At 38.4% G+C, this 20,449-nt stretch overlaps 1 protein-coding gene across 52 annotated transcripts in view; it reads left to right on the forward strand.

Annotated features, from left to right (window-relative positions):
- The window catches only part of FGGY (FGGY carbohydrate kinase domain containing), a 466,353-nt gene that overhangs the window by 30,803 nt on the left and 415,101 nt on the right, over positions 1-20,449 (forward strand). For 31 of the 52 annotated variants that reach the window (XR_007061929.1, NR_103473.2, XR_007061930.1 and 28 more), the window contains 2 exons: positions 12,778-12,889; positions 19,067-19,218. The exons of 6 other annotated variants lie outside the window; for them this stretch is intronic. Coding sequence is in view for 43 of the 46 variants with exons in the window: in XM_011541731.2 (XP_011540033.1) it covers positions 12,778-12,889; positions 19,067-19,218 (264 nt within the window). In the remaining 3 variants the exon portion in view is untranslated. Of the gene's footprint in view, positions 1-4,662; positions 4,853-12,777; positions 12,890-17,817; positions 17,867-19,066; positions 19,219-20,449 lie in introns of those variants that run through there. 15 more of the 52 variants (XM_017001671.2, NM_001350797.2, XM_017001669.3 and 12 more) reach the window with 4 other exon arrangements.

Here is a 20,449-nt window from a genome sequence, read left to right on the forward strand (position 1 = left end):
TCTCTGTAGCATGCAATGTTGTTTGATAGCATCTTATCCATGGCAGGACTTCTTTCAAAACTGGAGTTAGTTCTTTCAGACCTTAGCCTTATCAGTTAAGTTTATGTACTATTCTAAATTGTTTGTTGTCATTTCAACATTGTTCATATCATCTTTATCAGAAGTAGATTCCATCTCAAGAAATCATTTCCTTTGTTCATCCATAAGAAGCAGCCCCTCATCGGTTCATATTCTATCATGAGATTACAGCAATTCAATTTCATCTTCAGGGTCCACTTCTAATTCTAGTTCGTTTGGTATTTCCACTACCTCTGCAGTAACTTCCTCCACTTAAGTCTTGAGCCACTCAAAGTCATTCATGAGGGTTGGAATTAACCTCTTCCAAATTCCTGTTAATGTTGATATTTTGACCTCCCATGAATCATGAATGTTCTTAATGGCATCTAGAGTGGTAAATCCTTTCCAGAATGTTTTCAATTTACTTTATCTAGATCAATTAGAGGAATCACTATCTATGGCAGCTATATCCTTACAAAATGTAATTCTTAAATAATAATACTTGAAAGCTGAAATTTCTCTTTGATCCATGGGCTGCAGAATGGATGTTGTGTTAGCAGGTATGAGAACAACATTCATCTCCTTGTACATCTTCATCAGAACTCTTTGGTGACTCGGTGCATTGTCAATGAGGAGTAACACTTTGAAAGGAATCTCTTTTCTTTGAGCAGTAAGTCTCAACAGCAGGGTTAAAATATTCAGTAAACCATGCTGTAAATAGATGTGCTGTCATCCAGGCTTTGTTGTTCCATTTCTAGAGCACAGGCAGAGTAGATTTAGCATAATTCTTAAGGGCCCTAGGATTTTTGGAATAGTAAATGAGCATTGGCTTCAACTTAAGTCACCAGCTGCATTTGCCCCTAACAAGAGAGCCAGCTTGTCCTTTGAAGCTTTGAGGCCAGGCATTGGCTTTTTGTCTCTAGCTGTGAAAGTCCTAGATGGTATCTTCTTCCAATATAAGGCTGTTTTGCCTACCTTAAAAATATGTTGTTTAGTGTAGACACCTTCATTGATTGTCTTACCCAAATCATCTGTATAACTTGCTGGAGTTTCTACATCAGCACTTGCTGCTTCACCTTGTGTTTTTATATTATGGAAATGGCTTGTTTACTTAAACCTCCTGAACCAACTTCTGGTAGCTTCAAACTTTTCATTCTGTAGCTTCCTCACCTGTCTCAGCCTTTACAGAATTGAAGAGTTAGGACTGTGCTCTGGATTAAGCTTTGACTTAAAGAATGTTGTGGCTGGTTTGATCTTCTATCTAGACCACTCAAATTTTCTCCATATCAGCAATAAGACTGTTTCACTTTCTTATTCAGGTGTTCACTGGAGTAGCGCTTTTAGTTTTCCTTACGAACTTTCTTTTGCATTCACAGCTTGACTATTTGGTGCAAGAGGCCTATCTTTTTGCCAGTCTTGGCTTTCCCTATGCCTACTTGACTAAGCTTAATCATTTCTAGCTTTACATTTAAAGTGAGAGACTATGACTCCTTCTTTCACTTGAACATTTGGAGACCATTGTAGGGTTATTAATTGGCCTAATTTCAAAGTTGTGTCTCGGGGGTAGGGATCCCTAAGGAGAGGGAGAGAGATGAGGAATAGCTAGTCTGTGGAGCAGTGAGAACACACACCACATTTATCTATTAAGTTTGCCCGTCTTATATGGGTGCAGTTTGTGGTGCCCCAAAACAAATGCAATAGTAACATCAAATATTATCATAGCAGATATAATATTAATGAAAGTTTGAAATATTATTAAGAATTACCAGAATGTGACACAGACATGAGGTGACATGAGCTATTGGAAAAATGACACTGATAGACTTGCTCTTTGCAGAGCTGCTACACACCTTCAATTTGTAAAAAACACAATCTGCAAGATGCGGTAAAGCAAAGCACAATGATACCAGATATGCCTGAGGCATACCTCAAACTGCGGTTTTAGTTCCAGACCACTGCCACAAAGCAAATATCTCAATAAAGCAAGTCACATGAATTTTTTGATTCCCCAGCATACATAAATGTTTTGTTTGTGCTGTACCGTAGTCTATTAAGTGTGCAATAGCACTGTATCTAAAAAAAAGGTACCTTAATTAAAAAATACTTTATTGCTAAAAATGCTAATGAAGTGAGCACATGCTGTTGGAAAAATGGCAGCAATGGACTTGCTTACTGCAGGGTTGCCACAGACGTTCAATTTGTAAAAAATGTAATATCTGCAAAGTGCAATAAAGTGAAGCACGATAAAATGAGGTATGCCTGTATTTGGGTAGAACTCAATCCTTAACATGGCCTTCAGGGCCCTACATGGCCTGTCTCGACTTGCATTCCTGGCTCATCTCATGATGCTTCTCCTGGCTCTCTGCATTCCAGCCACACCTTCCTTCTGTCATGTCCTCAAACATGCAATGCTCCCTTTAGCGTAAGAATTGTTACCCAGATTCTTTCTTCTGGCTGCATATCCTTCCTACCTTCCACCAGCATATCTAACTCCTGTTCATCCTTAGACCTAAGCTATCCAATCCAATAGTTGCTGAACCCACAATGCCATTTAAATTTATAGTAATTACAATTAAATATAATTAAACATTCACTTCCTCTTTTGCTCCAGCCAAATTTCAAGTGCTCAATAGCCACATGGTGGCTATTATACTGAACAGCACAGATATAGCACATTTTCATTATTGTAGAAAGTTCCATTGGATAGTGCTGCCCCAAACCTTAATTCAAAAGTTAGTTCTTCAAGGAAGGAGCATTTTCTCTACCAATACCACCTCCAACTAAGTCTTATTTCACTTATTAAATGTTTTCACAGTGCCTTGTACGTCTCTTTCATAGAACTCCATGTGGTTCGTGAATCATTCATTTTTTGTTATCAAATAATAAAATCATTCTATAAATCAAGAATAAAATACCATAAAATGAAACAAAATAATAAGATATTTCACTTTTTGGATTAATGTATGTCTTCCCTACTAGATTTTATGTTTCAGGAGGGCAGGAGCTATGTTTTGCTTACCCAGAGCCTGGGTTATATTAGACCCAGGAAGTGTAAAAAAAATGAAGGGTCAAAAGAAATTGAGAGCACTTTGGGAGGCCCAGGTGGGCAGATCATGAGGTCAGGAGTTTGAGACCCGCCTGGTCAACATGGCAAAACCTTGTTTTTACTAAAAATACAAAAATTAGCTGGGCGTGGTGGTGTGCGCCTGTAATCCCAACTACTGAGGAGGCTGAGGCAGGAGAATCACTTGAACCCGGGAGGCGGAGGTTGCAATAAGCCGAGATCGCAGCACTGCCCTCCAGCCTGGGCGACAAAGCAAGACTCCATCTCAAAAAAAAAAAAAAGAAAAGAAAAGAAATGGAGACCTCCCTACTTCTACCCACTGGAGAAAACTTGAGAAAGGATGTAGGGCAAAAAGTGACTCTTGAACTCTTAAGAGAAGACAATTGGAACTGGAGGAATAGAATGGTCAGAAGCGCTGAGATGGGAACATCAAGGATCGAATCCTAGCTGTAATAGGTGGTTTCTAATAGGAAGAAGGAAAGGGAGGCTAGAATTGACGATACAGGGGTAGGTGAGACAGCTGGCTCAGACCAATGGGGAGCTCCTCTAGAATCATCCTGAGTTTGAGATTGACCAGTCTTGCAACAGATTCAGAATGGCTGGCAGAGAAGAAACTAAATTTAAGGATGTCAGGAGGCAGACATCCTGATGAGTTTCAGAGGCTGAGATTTTTTTTTTTTTAAACTATAAACTTTGGGAAGACTGGGACCACGTCTCTCTTGACCAGGATATGTTCTCTGTGTCTGGCACATATAGGTGCTTAATATTTTTAATAATAAATGGCTAGATTAGACTATTGGCAGAGGAATAAATAGGAGGGCTGAGACTGAGAGGCTTTAGGAAGGCAGGCGTAACTGGACTTGGCAACAATGGAGAGGAAGGAGGTAGAGGCTATTTGAGTTTCAGTTCTTGGCAGAATGTTGGGGTCACTGATATAAATGAGAGTATTTGGCCTTTATTTCATCATCTTATCATCAAATGGCAATACCATACCTAAGCTGGGATGCTACGTAGGTAAAGGATTAGGACTGGGTTTATTTACTTCACTGGTCACTAGAGTAGCTTTTACAAAATTGACTGCCTTCAAGGGCCTTCCAGGTAATGCACGCCCCAACACAAGCTGTATTTGTCTTCTTGCTGTTCCCCCTCCCAGGACCTCTGCGCTCGCTGTTCCCCTGCCTGGAACACTCTTCCCCCAGATTTCCATGAGGTCCACTCCTCATGTCTTTCAGGTGTATCCTCAAATTTCACTTGCATCTTGCATAGGAACCACCTCCTCCTTGCATTCCTAATCCCCCTGAGTAATCACTTGCTAGTATACTATATCTACACTATGTAATTTATTTGATTTATTGGGTATTGTCTATCCCTACTAAAATGTAATCTCCAAAAGAGCAAGGATTAAAAAAAAAAGTTTTTCTCTCCATTGTTTTTCCAATACCTAGAAGAGAAAATTCTGCACAGCCTGACCCTAGAAGGGGCTTGATTATTTTCGCTAAGGACTTATGGCTAAGTGAGTGATTGAACTGTGTAACCAACAGGTAGTGATGGAGCCTGAGGGAACTGGTGATTGCATAACTCCTCGCACGCCCCCAAAGCTGACAAAGGCATTCAAATCAAGATTTAAAAGAATACAGTACCTGCCACTCAGAACTCTACTGCAAGCTGGATTATGTCTATGAAGCCCCAGGCTTTGACCCTTGCTCTAAATAGAGCTAAGGATAAAACCAGGTATGCATCTGACCCTCCAGTTCTCAGTTTGGAGGGTTTCTAAGAAACACCATCTCCCCACCCAATATGGCAGATCTTGCTGATTTAAAACACATGCAGAATTGAACCATTTCCCACAATAAGAAGAAAGTGATACACAATCCCTTCCCCAAATATTTGTTTGCTGCCCCATAGCTACGAGTTGACAGTTGTTAGACATGGAACAGGTTACCAAATGAGGTTGCAGAAATCTCTTTCTCTGGAAATTCTTTAGAAGAGCAATGTGCTTTCTCTCTAGCTAGGGAAATTCTCTTGATTCCAAGCTGTTACAATGAGATTACTGGGCTGCTTTCTTCTTCCATTAATAAGAATATAAAAAAGAATTCTTAGGTCACCAGGTCAAGCCCCAGAGGCCTTCTGGGTAGTGTGACTCTGACAGTCATCTTTCTGGGATGGTTTAGATGGTGTGGGGTGAGGGGTTGGGAATGGCGATGTTCCTCAGCTGTGGATGAGCATGATCATAAGGCATTTCCTTGTAAGGCTGGGGAAATAGTAGTGGCTACCTAGCTAGATCAGGTTTAAATGCATGCCACAGTTACTCTTCCAGTTTCTTGTGAGAGGTCTCTGTTTGAAAGATAGAGACGCTGAGTCTTTGTGACTGAAGGCCATGATTGTAATATTGAGCACTCTGTAGGTCTGTTGAGGGGATTCATAACATACATTGAAGAAAATATTTTCCTTGCTCCTACTAGGTTACTCCCGCCATGATTCTTAGAAAGATTTGAGTCTATCCAATTTTTTCTATTCCTACTCTTTTTGCTTGTCATTTTTATATGTGCTTACGTGACACAGAGAGCAAGCATGCTGTGCTTTGTACATAAAAACATTCCATGAACACAATAAGGCATTGAGTGCATTTCCTATCCTATTTTCTATAAAGGTTTACTGGTTTCAAAGTAATTTCAGACTCCACTGATCCCATTCAAAGCCTTTGATTCTTACTTGGGAGGTATCTCTCACTCAGGAAACTGAGGCTCAGAAAGTTGATGGAGTTAGTGCAGGATTACCTGACCTAGAAGTGGTGGAGTTGGCACCAGAAGGAAGTTCTTTGGACACCACATCCTGTGTTTGTTTCTACTCCCAAACTGCCTTGTGGTATGGAGTTTGAGTCATCTATATTTTCTCACCCAAGTCCTCTTTTGACTAACTGCAGACCTGTGTGAGATGGGCTTACCCAAGTCAGACATGCACTTTCTGGGCACAGAAGCCAATTGGGCCACATAGCAAGTAGAAGTTAGGGCTGGGTGATTGATTGATTGGTATCCCACATGGAAAGATTTGAAGCAACTAATTTGCTCTAATATAAACTGCTACTTACTGTGCACTGATGCCAGATGTTGAGCTCATCACACCTTATTTTGCTGAATTCTCATATCATTGGGAGATGCAGGTTTAGGTAATAGTTTTGTACTGCCAAGGAAGCTGCTTATCTGACTTCACAAAGTTATATAACTCGGAAATAGTAGAACCAGATTTCAGACTCAGGTCTTCTGCCCCCAAAGTCGCTGATTTAACTACTATCCAGTGATTTCCAAGCCAAGTTGTAAGGACATTCCAGGCAGAAATAGCCATACCTGTAAATGCTATAGAAACATGAACCAGCAAAGCAAGAGAGGAGTTGCAATGGCTAGAATTGTGTAACTTGCCTTCAGCCACGTAGCCATGGTGGCAGAGCTAGGATTTGAATTCAAGTCTTTGTGACTCATTGTCATGAGGCCATACTGCCTGTCAGGAAATGGGTTTGGTCCTCACACTGTAAGTCTAGATAGATCAGTGTGGTGAAGGCATCTGGGTATTCACTTGGTACTGTGGGTCAAGGTACTACCAGCAGTCACAGATGGGTCAGCAGCAAGTGTTCTCTAGATCACATGTCCTTTCCACAGGATGAGTCTCTTGGGCAACAGGAAATTATCTGATGACAGAGGTGAGCAGTATGGTATAATGGAAAGAAAATAGACACTGAGTTTGAATTCTGGCTCTGCAATCTACTGGCTGTGTGACAAGTGCAAGTTCCTTAACCTCTCTGTGCCTGCTGTTCACCCTTTCCCTCGCCAATCATCCACTTCTTTTATTTTGTTTTATTTTTTTTGAGATGGAGTCTCATTCTGTCGCCCAGGCTGGAGTACAGTTGCATGGTCTTGGGTCACTGCAACCTTTGCCTCCTGGGTTGAAGCAGTTCTCCTGCCTCAGCCTCCCTAGTATTTGGGACTACAGGCACATGGCACCACACCTGGCTAGTTTTTGTATTTTTTAGTAGAGATGGGGTTTCATCGTGTTGGCCAGGCTGGTCTCAAACTCCTGACCTCAAGTGATCTTCCCGTCTTGGCCTCCCAAAGTGTTGGGATTACAGGCGTGAGCCATTGCACCCGGCCCCCACTTGTTTTTCATGAAAAACTAATATTAAATGTTTCTTTTGGAGGGCTTTGTAAGGATTAAATAATATGTATGTCAAACATATGGCACATAGTAGATGTTCAATATATGGCAATGCTTTATTAATATGACTTGAAAAAAATTACTGCTTTTCTTTTTTGGACATTTCTCATAATTATGTGAAGCTCTTGTTTGAGGAACATGTTAAATAGTAAGAAATGGAATTCTAAATTATAAATCTGGTATTTCCAAACAGGAAAAAAATAATTATATATTTTAAGGTGAATTTCACTAAATGAGGATGGACATTTTTGAGTTGACTTTTATGGGATTTAAAAGGTTGTAGTCATGTTTTAAGTTAATAGAAACTGGTCGCTCATGCTTTTTCTATAAAGGAAACCATAGAAACAAAAATAAAAAATAGAATTAATCGATAAATCTATTATTCTACAACTTTAAAAATTATACAAACAAGTGTAAAATCTATATCCTCCTCCTGCAGTTCCACCCTCAGGAGCAACCACTATTAACAATTTGTTGCATATTCTTTTTTTTAAAACCTTACTAATATATCATGGATGTCTTTCCATTTTATCTTTCATAGCTCAACTCGTTTTAAAAGTATTTAACAGCTTGATGTATGATTTATATATCATAAAATCCAGCCATTGTAAATGTATAATGCTGTTATTTTGTAAATTTATACAGTGGTGCAATCATCACCTACTCCAGTTTTAGAACACTTATTACTCCAAAAGTTTCCTTACACCTGTTTGCAGTCAACCCCAAGCCCCAGTCAGAGGCGCTTTCTGTCTTTATAGGTGTTCTTTTTAGAAATTTTATATAAATAGAATCACATAGCGTGCTTTCTTTTATATCTGGCTCTTTTCACTTAGCATAATGTTTTTAAGGATCATCCATGTTGTTACATATATCAGTAGTTCCTTTTTCTTGCTGAGTAGTATTCTGTTATATGGATATACAATACTTTATTTAACAGTTGGTTAAACTATGATGGATATTTGGTTGGTTTTCAGCTTGGGAATATCAATAATGCTGCTATGAATATTCACATACAATTCTTTGTGTTGATGTATGTTTTTATTTTATTTTATTTGGTTTGTTAATATTTTGTATTGAAGTTGCCGGGTTGTGTGGTAAGATGTGGCTGTATTTTACATTTCCATCAGCAATGTATAAGGGCATCACTTTCTCCACAATTCTCTAACACTTGGTATTGTCAGTCTTTGTGATAATATTCTAGTAAGTGTGCAGTAGTATCTTATTGTGATTTTAATTTGCATTTCCTTAGTGACTAATGATTTGAGCACTTTTTCATGTGTACATTGGCCATTTGTATATTTTCTTTGCAGAAGTGTCCACATCTTTTGCCAATGTTATCATTGGGTTGTTTTTCCTCTTATTATTTGAGTTTTAAAATATATTTTATATGCAAGTATATTATCAGATGTGTTGTTTGCAAATATTTTCTTCCAGTCTGTAGCTTGTCTTTTCGTTTTCTAATTGTTTCTTTTGAAGAAAAAGATTTTTAAATTTTGATGAAGTCAAAATTTTTTCTTTTGTGGGTCTTGCTTGCTTTTTATAAAATCTTCATCTAATGCAAGGTTGCAACAATGTTCTCCTGTTTTCTTCTACACATTTTATATTTTTAGTCTTACATTTAGGGATGTGATATGTTTTGAGTTAAGTTTTGTGTATGGTGTGAGGTAAGAGTCTAAGTTCTTTTTTGCATATAGTCATATAGTTCTAGCATCACTGTCAAATAGTCTGTCCTTTCCCCCATTAAATTATATAGGCACATTTACCAAAGCCAATTGCCATAAATGGGTTTACTTCTTATATCTCTGTTCTATTGATTTATAAATTTATCCTTATACCAATACCACATAAACTTAGGAATGCTAGTTTTATAGTAAGTTTTGAAGTCAGATAGCATATATTTTCCAAGTTCTTTCTATTCAATTTTGTCAGTTTCTACAAATAAGTAGATAAATAAATAAATAAAACCTGCTAGTTTTTTTTTTTTTTCACTTTAAGTTTTGGGATACATGTGCAGAAAGTGCAGGTTTGTTACATAGGTATACATGTGCCATGGTGGTTTGTTGCACCCATCAACCCATCATCTAGGTTTTAAGCCCCACATGCATTAGGTATTTGTCCAATGCTCTCCCTCCCCTTGCCCCGCACCCCCTGACAGGCCCCAGTGTGTGATGTTGCCCTCCCTGTGTCCATGTGTTCTCATTGTTCAACTCCCACTTATGAGTGAGAACATGCGGTGTTAGAAAACCTGCTAGGATTTTAATGGAGTTGTGGAGAATCTGTAGGTTAATTTGAAGAGATTACCATCTGAACAATGTTGAATTTTCCATTTTACGAGTGTGACATATTTCTCCAATTTTTAGCTCTTCATAGCAATGTTTGGTAGTTGTCAGAGTATAGGTCTTGAACTTCTTGTGATATGTTAATTCCTGAATGTATTTGTCAGGTTTCTCCAGAGGGACAAGGCCAGTAGGAAATATATATGTATATGTACATGTATGTATATGTATATATTCATATATATATATTTATATGTATATAGTCATATATATATATATATATATGAAAGAAAGTTTGTTAGGGAGAATTGGATCACATGATTAAAAATGTGAAGTTCCACAATAGGTCATCCGTAAGCTAGGGAATGCCAGTAGTGTGGCTCAGTTCAAGTCCAAAAGCCTTGAAACCAGGGAAGCCGACAATGCAGTCCTGAATAAGTCTGAGGGTGAAGGCCTGAGAGCCCCAGGCAGGCTGCTAGTGCAAGACCTAGAGTCCAAAGGAAGATGAACCTGGAGTCTGATGTCTAAGGGCAGGAGGAGAAAAGGTGCCTCACTGCAAAAGGGAGAGAGGGAGGAAGGTAAGCAATCTGAGTATCCCCCTTGTTCCACCTGCTTTGTTCTAATCACACCCATTACTGATTAGATGGTGCCCACTCACATCAAGGGTGGCTCTTCCTCTCCCAGTCCACTGACTCCACATGTCAATCTCCTCTGGAAACACCCTCACAGACACACCCAGAAACAGTGCTTCACTAACCAGCTAGGCATCCCTCAATCCAGTCCAGTTGATATCTAATATTGAGCATCACACTGAGTATTTCACTTTTTGATGCTATTGTGAATGGGATTATTTTCTTAATTTTATTTTTTATCTTTTAGTTGCTATTAAGTAGAAATCCAGTTGATATTTATATGTTAGTCTTGCATCCTCTCATCTTACTAAAATTGCTTATTAGTTCTAGTAATTTTTTTAGCTTGTAGATTCTTTAGGATTTTCTGCATATGAGATCATGTCATCTGCAAAGAAAGACACTTTAACTTCTTTTCTAATCTGTATGCTTTTAATTTACTTTTCTCACTTTATTGCAATGGCTAGAAGCTCAAGTATAAGGTTGAATAGAAGTGGTAAAAGTGAACATCCTTGCTTCATTTCTGATGGGGGAAAGCATTCATGTTACCATTAAGTATGATGTTAGCTGTAGGTTTTTGTAGATGCTCCTTATCAGGTTGTAGAAGTTCTCTTCTATGTCTGGTTTATTGAATGTTATATTTGGAGGGTAGGGGTTCTTTTTTCTGCATCTGTTGAGATGATCATTTGGTGTTTGTACTTTGTTCTGTTAATGTGCGTATTCCATTAATTAATTTATGGATATTAAACCACTCTTGCATTCCTGGGATGACTCCACATAGTCATGGTATATAAAGGAAAGTTTTACATGCTGGAAGATTTCGTTTGTTAATATTTTGTTAAGGATTTTTACTATGTTCATGATAAATATTAGTCTGTAGTGTCCTTTTCTTATGTATTTGCTTGACTTTGGTATCAGGGTAATACTGGCTATGTAATATTTGTTGGAAAGTGTTCCCTTCTTCACTGTATTTTAGACAAGTTTGTGTAGCATTGGTACCATCTCTTCCTTAAATGTTTGATAAAATTTCCCAGTGAAGCATTTGGACCTGTAGTTTTTTTATTTTTTGTGGGAATGTTTTAAGCACAAATTTGATTTTTCAAAAAAAAAGTGCTTCTCAATTTTTCACATGGCTTTGGCCAATTTCCATAACCCCAAAATGGTGGTTTTTGATAGTTTTGTCCAGTTTATTAGTTTTATTTTGCTAAGAGGATTTTTTGACTTCACACCGCCACACCCAGCAGTTGCCTCTCTACCTCTTTTTAAAAAAAATCTGTATAGTATTTCATTTTACAAACATGCCATAATTTATTTAATAAAAATAGTTTTTTCACTTTTAAAATATAGTCTGAGCAGTGCTGAAGCTAACCTTCTTCTATATATAACTTTACTTACTTTTGCTAATAAGATACGTGCATTTTTAATTTTAATAAATGTCAAATTATTCTCCAAAGTTTGTTGTCATTAATTATATTGTTAGAATAATCTCCAAGAAGGTCCACTTCTGCATATATTGCCACTACCATATACAGGTTAAGCAACCCTACTCTGAAACTAAAATGCACCATAATTCAAAACTTTTTGAGTGGCATTGTGACGCCACACATGGATGTCTAAGATAGTAACATTTTTGTTTTCTGATGATTCAGTGTACATAAACTTTGTTTCATGCACAAAATCATTAAAAATATTGTATAAAATTACCTTCAGGCTATGTGTGTAAGGTATATATGAAACATATATGAATTTTGTGTTTAGACTTGGGTTTCATCCTCAAGATATCTCATTATGTTATATACAAATATTCCAAAATCTGAAAAATTCTGAAATCTGAAATGCTTTTGATCACAAGCATTTCAGGTAAGTAATAACAGCCTGTAGTATTAATCTTTTATATTTTTGCCAATATGAAAAGCAAACAGTTTGATATCTTTTTGTTTGTACTTATCTAATTGGAGGTGGGAATCTTCTCATATGCTCTTTGACCATTTCTTTTTATTTTATGAGGTGACTTTTTATTCCTTTGCTTAATTTCCAATTATTTTTAATTATTATTATTATTTTTTTTTGAGATGGAGTTTCGCTCTTGTTGCCCAGGCTGGAGTACAATGGCGTGATCTCGGCTCACTGTAACCTCCGTCTCCCAGGTTCAAGCAATTCTCCTGCCTCAGCCTCCTGAGTAGCTGGGATTACAGGCACACACCACCATGCCTGGCTAATTTTCGTATTTTTAGTAGAGACAGGGTTTCACTGTGTTGGCCAGGCTGGTCTTGAACTCCTGACCTTGTGATCTACCCACTTCGGCCTCCCAAAGTGCTGGGATTACAGGTGTGAGCTGCCATGCCTGGCCTTAATTTCCAGTTAGTTTGGTTCTTTTTTTCTTATTTATAGGATCTTTTGGGATTATAGTGATACTAAATTTTTATCTGTTTTATGTTGTAAAGATTTTTTTCTATTCTGTCATTCCTTCCTTCTAGTTGTAACTGTTTTCAATCTTTAAAGACCCTGGTGTTGTAATTTATGTTTTTATTTGTTTTTAAAACAGAAAGTTGTACAAGGGATTGATTTAAACCAAATTCGAGGACTTGGGTTTGATGCCACGTGTTCTCTGGTTGTTTTGGATAAGCAGTTTCACCCATTACCAGTCAACCAGGAAGGTAAGACCATGTCTCTTCCTTTTCCCAGTGGTGGGATACTTGGCTGATTAATCCAATGGGCCCAGGTGGAACAGGAGGGCAGGCGTCTCTTGCTGCTGATAGTAAAATTTAGAGGTAGAGTGAAGTGACACAGATCATGTTGCAGAAGTCAAGAGCTTGGAGAGCAGTTGGTATGAGTGGGGTGGTGTTGACGCTGGATTAGGGGGACTAGGCTTTCTAAAACTCAGGAGCCACAGTGCAGAGCTTGGTAAAGGAAGGATATGAGATTGTTAGCTAGGAGTGATTAACCTTGAAACACACAGGTGGTTTTGATGTTTTCTGAGAAGAGAGTGTCAGTGCTTGCAGTTTCTTTGTATACGATATTCCTATTCCGTGCTTATCTGAGTGGATGAGCCAAGTCCTTTGAAAGGAAATGGAACATGGTAGACAGGGCCATGTGACAGATAGAAGGTAGAAGCAGATGGCCTCTCTATTTTCAGTAGCCAGACCAAAAGACATTCACATTAAATGGTGTTGTCCTAATAGACACTTGTGAGTACAGAAATGAGCTGTTTGAAATGTAAAGTGCTACTTGGGTCCACCATCAGAGATTTTTCACAGCAGATAAGGTTGTCCCTTTTGGGGAATTTTAGCCAATAACGTTTGTACTGGGGTTACAAACCCGAAAGTCTATTAATATATTAATGTAATAATTAATACATTAGTCAGATGGGTAATGTAAATGAGTAATAGGCCAGGTTTGAGAAAAACCACTGCACCTGTGTGAAGATAAATTTCAACTGATATTTAACCTTGTAATGAGCAGATGACATTAGGGAGCAGTGGAGGCTGCATTGCACTGGAAATTGCATGCTCCATCTGAAGGGAAGGGCCAGCTCTAGGCATTGTCAGTCAGCTGTTGCCAAGATAGCCATTGCAAACATATTTGGGGCTAGATTCTGTTAGAGAACCCTTGATTCTGCACACTGTTGCAGCAGCATCTTTCTTAACTGTTGGCTATGAGGTAGTAGGGTACATTGATACACAGTGGAATTAGAGTTAGGCGGGGACTCTGATTGTAGCTCTGCTGTTGCTGAGCTGTGACACCTTGGGCAAGCCACTTAACTCTGTGTTTCTCAGTTTTCTTCTCTGAAAGAATTTGAATGAATCAGTAGCTTTGCTGTGAGAATTTAGTGAGAGACTGATACTTAAAATGCTCAGAAAAGTTTCTTCCATCAGATGATGAATTTTTTAAGTTAAGAGAATATTCCGGTCACTACTGTGGACCTAATGTATGAAATAGTGATTATTATAATTATAAGGACTATAAATGATCATCTATTTGCATCCCTTTTCACTATAAGTGATCACTATAAATAATCATAATCACTATGTGCTGAAAATGGATGCAAATAGATGAATGATTAGAGCACAGTGGTAATGATGACCATTTTCTGCACAGACACACACACTTTTTTCCCTCTTCTTGCGACATTTATTAACACCTCCTGTGTTCCAAGCCCTGTCTTAGCAAATGCTGGGGCTTCAAAGATAAATCAGGACGGTTCTTTTTCTTGGTGGCTGTTCATTGGCTCAGTTGGCACTGTTCTGGCCCAGGACAGGGCAGCCTTGTTCTGAGCCATTTCAGAAAGCAGAGACCAAACCTGGGTAGAGCAAACCTCAGCTCTGCAGCAGCAAGCATTCACTAATTACAAGATGTGGCCAGCCACAGACCTGGCCGTTTTGGGAGGCTGTCAGTATATCTTTTATGGGCTTTATTTAAGTAAAGGTCAGGTGATTGTTTGGGATGCCATAGATCAGATGTCTCTTACTGTTGATAGTGAGATTTAGAGGCAGAGTGTGGAGGCTAGAAATCACCGTCCCAGAAGTTAAAAGCCTGGAGAGCAATTGGCACGAGTGGGGTGGTGTTGGGGGCAGAGTTAGAGGGAACTTGGTTCCATAAAGCACAAGAGCCATGTTAGAGAGCCTGATTTTGGGTGGAACTTTAGATACTAAGAGTCCTGTTTCAAGGATTTTGTATCATCTGATCTGCTAAAATACATGTTTACTTATTTATTTTTATTCTGGCTGTGCATTAGTATCAACTGGAGATCTTTTTAAAAATTGCCAATTCATGAGCCCTACCCTCAGGATTTGTATTCACTTGACTTGAGGTGGAGCTAGGGTGTCAACTTTTTAAAAAAGTTTTCTCAGTAAGTCTAGTATGTAGAGAATCACTGGGGACAGATTAACGGAGAATTAAAATATTAGGAACAGAACACTTGAAGTGGAAGAAGACAGTTCCTTGTTAAATTTGCTTAAATATGTACCCTCTTTGGATGCTATTTTTCTTTCATTGTAGGTAGAATGGCTTCCTGTTAACAAATCCTCTATTAAAAAGGTAACTAGGTTATCACTCTAATTATAAGTGTTGAAATAACTTTATTCCACCTAAAAGGTTAAAGTGTACCCATTCATCAAATGCATCCAGCTGCAGGTGCCCTCATCAGTTTCTTGCCTTTCAACAGATTGTATTAAGGTTAGATCTTTTATCTGAAATGAATTATCCTGTGCAAGAAAATGAAATTAGAATTATAAAGGTGGTTTGAAGGTTCTTTAGAGACTCCTACCTGCATGGCAGCGACCAACTCTTGATTGGCTAATGGGAGTAATTGTGAGGAGCAGAGAGTGGGGTCAGGAAGATTCCAGATAACCCTAATCATGCAGATAACCTAAAACCAAACCCATAAGACCAGCAAAAGTATTGCCGTCTTTAGATGTTAACCAAAAAATTATAAACGAATAAATTAAGTACAATAGTTTAAGAAAATTCAGCATTAGTCTATGATAAAATAGTCTCATTTGCCTTTCCTTGTTTGACTCTTCTTCCTTAAAGATCAGAACAACCCCTGGGCTGGACAGCAGCACAGTTGCTGAATGCTTCCTACCCCTGCCACTGACCAAACTCAGAGCCTTACCCTGATTGTGTCATCTCAGCCATAGGAGCTCTTGGGAGGGAGAGGAACAAAGGGTGATAATTGGGGCTGGGAGAGGGAGTTATGACCTAGTCTCCTCTGTGCAACAGATACCTAATGTTTAGATTTTTTTGCTGATTCATAATATTTTTTCCCCTCAAGTATGCCTGCAACACATTCTGTGAACATAAACATGTATTTTAGCAAGGTATTAATTAAGTGAATATATGGATGAATAATCTACCCTTAGGTAAAGTGAGGTAGCTCAAATGTAACTTTACCTCCAATTCTCTTAAACGACAACATTTTTGTGGGTCTGTGTTCTGTTTCCCATGCTGCCTTATTGTATAGAACCTCTTTCTCACTCTTTCCTCACCTGCCTAGCCATTGGCTAGTCATTTGAAGAATTAAATAAACACTTTCCTGCCTTTTGAAAGCTTTCTGTGCAGCTCCAGGCTCAGCTAACTAGAGCCTGCTCTTTGCTCCTCCTCCACATTCCCATGTCTGGTACTCTTGTTCTGGCAGTCAACACACAGTATAGACTCTTTCTCCTGCAGACATATGTTGCTTAAGGGCAGAACTGTGGCACATTCTTCTTGATATCCTAGCATCCAACACTGTGCTTGGCATGTAGTAGATGCTCAATAAAAGATTAAATGAACTTTCAGTTTTCCATAAGAGCTGAAAAAAATTAACTTCTCAGTTTTTATCTAAAACGAAAATTATTAATTCTAATACAGTAATGATTCTGTACAATTTTCATTGTATTGTTCTGACTGCATTTTGAGAGCATCTTTATGTAGAGGCAGTAGTAGCTGATTGGTCTGTCTTTACTATAGGCAGAAGTTTAGCAACAGGTATTTTTACCTTAAAGTAGCTGTAGATTTGTTCTGTACAGTACTTAAGAAACAATACTGATATTGTCCCCTTCAACACTCACCCACCCACACATACACCCACATCCTGATTCATTGATGGTTGTGGAATAGGAGCTGGACATCAGTATTTTTAAAAGTTATCAAGGCGACGCTAATGTGCAACTAGGTTTGAGAACTAGAGCTTTGAGCACTTCTGTTAGATAGAGGAACAATTCTGTTTACAAAAAATTCTTTGACATTCCTGTGGAAGGTCCCATGTACTCTGTATTATTTTCAAAGTATTAGTATAATGGTTTGTGGAGCTTTTGTGGGAGGTGATATCTTTCCAGTTAGGCAACTGAGCCCCTGCCTTGTTATGCCCATGACCTTATTTAGGTATCTTCTTACATTGGCTTTTTTTGTTGTTTTTTTTTTTGGTTTTAATTTTAAACATTCTTTTCAAAGATGTGGAAGGGTAAAGAAAGCAACATCTTCCTATTCGCCTACCACTGAGGATAAACATGAAATTTTGCCATATTTGCCTCAGCTCCTTTTATTTTAAAAAAAGATATTTGTAACTTCAGCTTTTCACCTCCTGCAGGTAACCATTCTGCTGTAGTTGCTGTTCTTAAACACATTGTTTTTGTGCTTTTACTACATATGTGTATACCCACAACAACAAACAGTATACAATCCTTCCTCTGTATCTGAGGGGTACTTGTTCCAGGACCTCCTTAAGACCATAACCCACAGATACTCAAGTCCCTGATGTAAAATGGCATCGTATTTGCGTATAACCTATGTACGTCTTCCCATGTACTTCAGATAATCTCTAGGTTACTTATAATACCTAATGTTAGGTAAATACTTGTTATACTATATTGTTTAGGGAATAATGGCAAGTAAAAAAGTCTGTACACATTCAGTACAGATGCAACCATCCATTTAAAAAAATATATTTTCAATCCACGGTTGGTTGAATCCACAGATGCAGAACTCACAGACATGGAGGGCTGACTCTGTGTTTTAAAGTATCTCAGCTGGTGTCCTTGTTCATGTTACTATGTCTAACTCTAGTTTATTCATTTAAGAATTGATTTATCTGTTCTCTATGCAGATCTAGTTCCAAAATACACTTTGTGCATTTCCCAGCTGTGAGACATTGGGTACGTCTTCACTTTCAAGAGTCTGTCATTGAAAAACAGGGGTTAAAAACCTGTATCAGAGGGTTGTTTTGAGGATTAAATGTGATGATATGTGTAAAATGTTTAGCACAGGGCTTGGGAGACAAACACACATTACAAACATTTACTATTAGCAAGATATGTAGTGCTGCGGTTACTTTGCCATTAAATAAAATAATGTGTGAAAATATAATACCTGGTTTGGTAACTGCTGGGTTTCTTTTCTCTTTGCCCTAATAATCTCTCGGGTATATTAATTGCTGTTCTGCAACTTTTGCCATCAGAGGCATCAGAGGGCTGTTAAAGGATTTCTGGCTTGCCCATTGGTACAGGATGAATTAACAGAGGCTGGGGAGAGAGATAAGGAGTTACTGTGTGGACTACAGGGTGGTAAGGCAGGATATGAGGGGCAGTGCTCCTTTTCCAGCTGGTTTTAAATTCTCCTCCTTATGATTTTCTCCTCCTGAGGGCCTACTTTCTGAGAAGTACTTGCCATATCCTTTATGTGCATTATCTTTTGTTTAAAAACTTCCTGAATTATACATCTTCATCTGTAACTGTATCTTCATCTGTAACTAGCATTCCCTGTTAGATCTGCCTAATTCCAAAACCCATGAGCTTCCCACGCCAGCAAACAAGCCAACCAAATGAGGAAAAAAAAAAACACCTACATAAACTAATTTTAATTAAAGTGACCAGAAAAAGTGGGAATATAAGCAGTTAAATGCCATTGTTTAGCTATTAGATGTATTATACCGTCAAAGTATTTATCCATATTTAAAGGAGACAGATCTTAGAAAGTATTGTCTTAGTCTTATTTCATAGACACCTTTCCTGAATGTATGCCCAGAAAAGTTTTTCTAGAACAGAAGGGATAAGAAAGGAAGGGAAGAATTTGAGAGAGAATACTTGATAATATAATTAATTGGTAGATGTTTTCTGCTTTTAATGTAGACATTTATTCTAAGGTCATGGTCAGAGAACACATGACTGGACGGGAAATTCCAGGCCTGGGGACAGTGCTTTCCTCAGCCTTGCTGGTGTCCTTTCATTTTGCACACTCTTGATACATAAAATTATAGAAAGTACATAGCATTTTGATCTTGGGAATCCATAATTGTTCCCTTGAATTAGAAGGAAGAGAATGTGTGTCCATCTGCATCTCCCTCTCGTTTCTGCTAGGGGATTCCCATCGAAACGTCATCATGTGGCTGGACCATCGAGCAGTCAGTCAAGTTAACAGGATCAATGAGACCAAGCACAGTGTCCTCCAGTACGTCGGGGGGGTGATGTCTGTGGAAATGCAGGCCCCGAAACTTCTGTGGCTGAAAGAGGTGAGTGCATAGGGTCTAAGAGAAGATACCAACAATAGTAGAGGATTCCTGTTACTGTGGACCTGTAGGTACCAGGCACCCTGCTAAAATCGGTTATGTTTGATTTTTCCCAGCAACTAGGAGGAAGGTTGATCCCATTTTATTGATTACAGTGTAGTTAAATCACACCTGTTTTTATGTGCCTAACTCATACTAGGCACTGTGACAAGTATTGTACACATTATCTCTTTGAAGGCCAACGACCCTATGAAGTGTTTGTGTGTGGTGTTTATTTTAGGGTGTCTGTTTTGTAGACAAGAAAACGAATGTTCATAGAGATAAAACAACTCACTCAAAGTGACAAAGTAAATATGTGACAGAACCAGAATTTGAACCTAAGACTGGCTGACTCCAAAATCATTTTTTTTTAATTTTAAAATGTTTCTTTTGTAGAGACTTGGTCTCACTATTTTGGCCAGGCTGATTTCGAACTCCTGGCCTTATGTGATCCTGCAAAAGTGATATGATTATAGGTGTGAACCACTGTGCCCGGCCATCCAAAATCAATTCTTTTTTTTTTTTTTTTTTTTTAAGTATCAATTTCTCTTTTAATCTTAGACGTCGTGGTGGAAGGAAAAATCAGTTAGCAAAGAAGCAATCTCAGAAAAAGTGTATCTTTTTGATGCCTTTATGCCTTTTTTTTCCTCTTTTTTTTTCGGTTATTCTTTATTATTATACTTTAAGTTTTAGGGTACATGTGCACAACGTGCAGGTTAGTTACATATGTATACGTGTGCCATGTTGGTGTGCTGCACCCATTAACTCGTCATTTAACATTAGGTATATCTTCTAATGCTATCCCTCCCCCCTCCCCCCACCCCACAACAGGCCCCGGTGTGTGATGTTCCCCTTCCTGTGTCCATGTGTTCTCATTGTTCTATTCCCACCTATGAGTGAGAACATGTGGTGTTTGGTTTTTTGTCCTTGTGATAGTTTGCTGAGAATGATGGTTTCCAGCTTCATGCATGTCCCTACAAAGGACGTGTGAACTCATCATTTTTTATGGCTGCATATTATTCCATGGTGTATATGTGCCACATTTTCTTAATCCAGTCTATCATTGTTGGACATTTGGGTTGGTTCCAAGTCTTTGCTGTTGTGAATAGTGCCACAATAAACATACATGTGCATGTGTCTTTATAGTAGCATGGTACTGGTACCAAAACAGATATATAGACCAGTGGAACAGAAC

The sequence above is a fragment of the Homo sapiens genome, chromosome 1 (assembly GCF_000001405.40).
Source record: "Homo sapiens chromosome 1, GRCh38.p14 Primary Assembly".
In the NCBI taxonomy this organism is placed as follows: domain Eukaryota; kingdom Metazoa; phylum Chordata; class Mammalia; order Primates; family Hominidae; genus Homo; species Homo sapiens.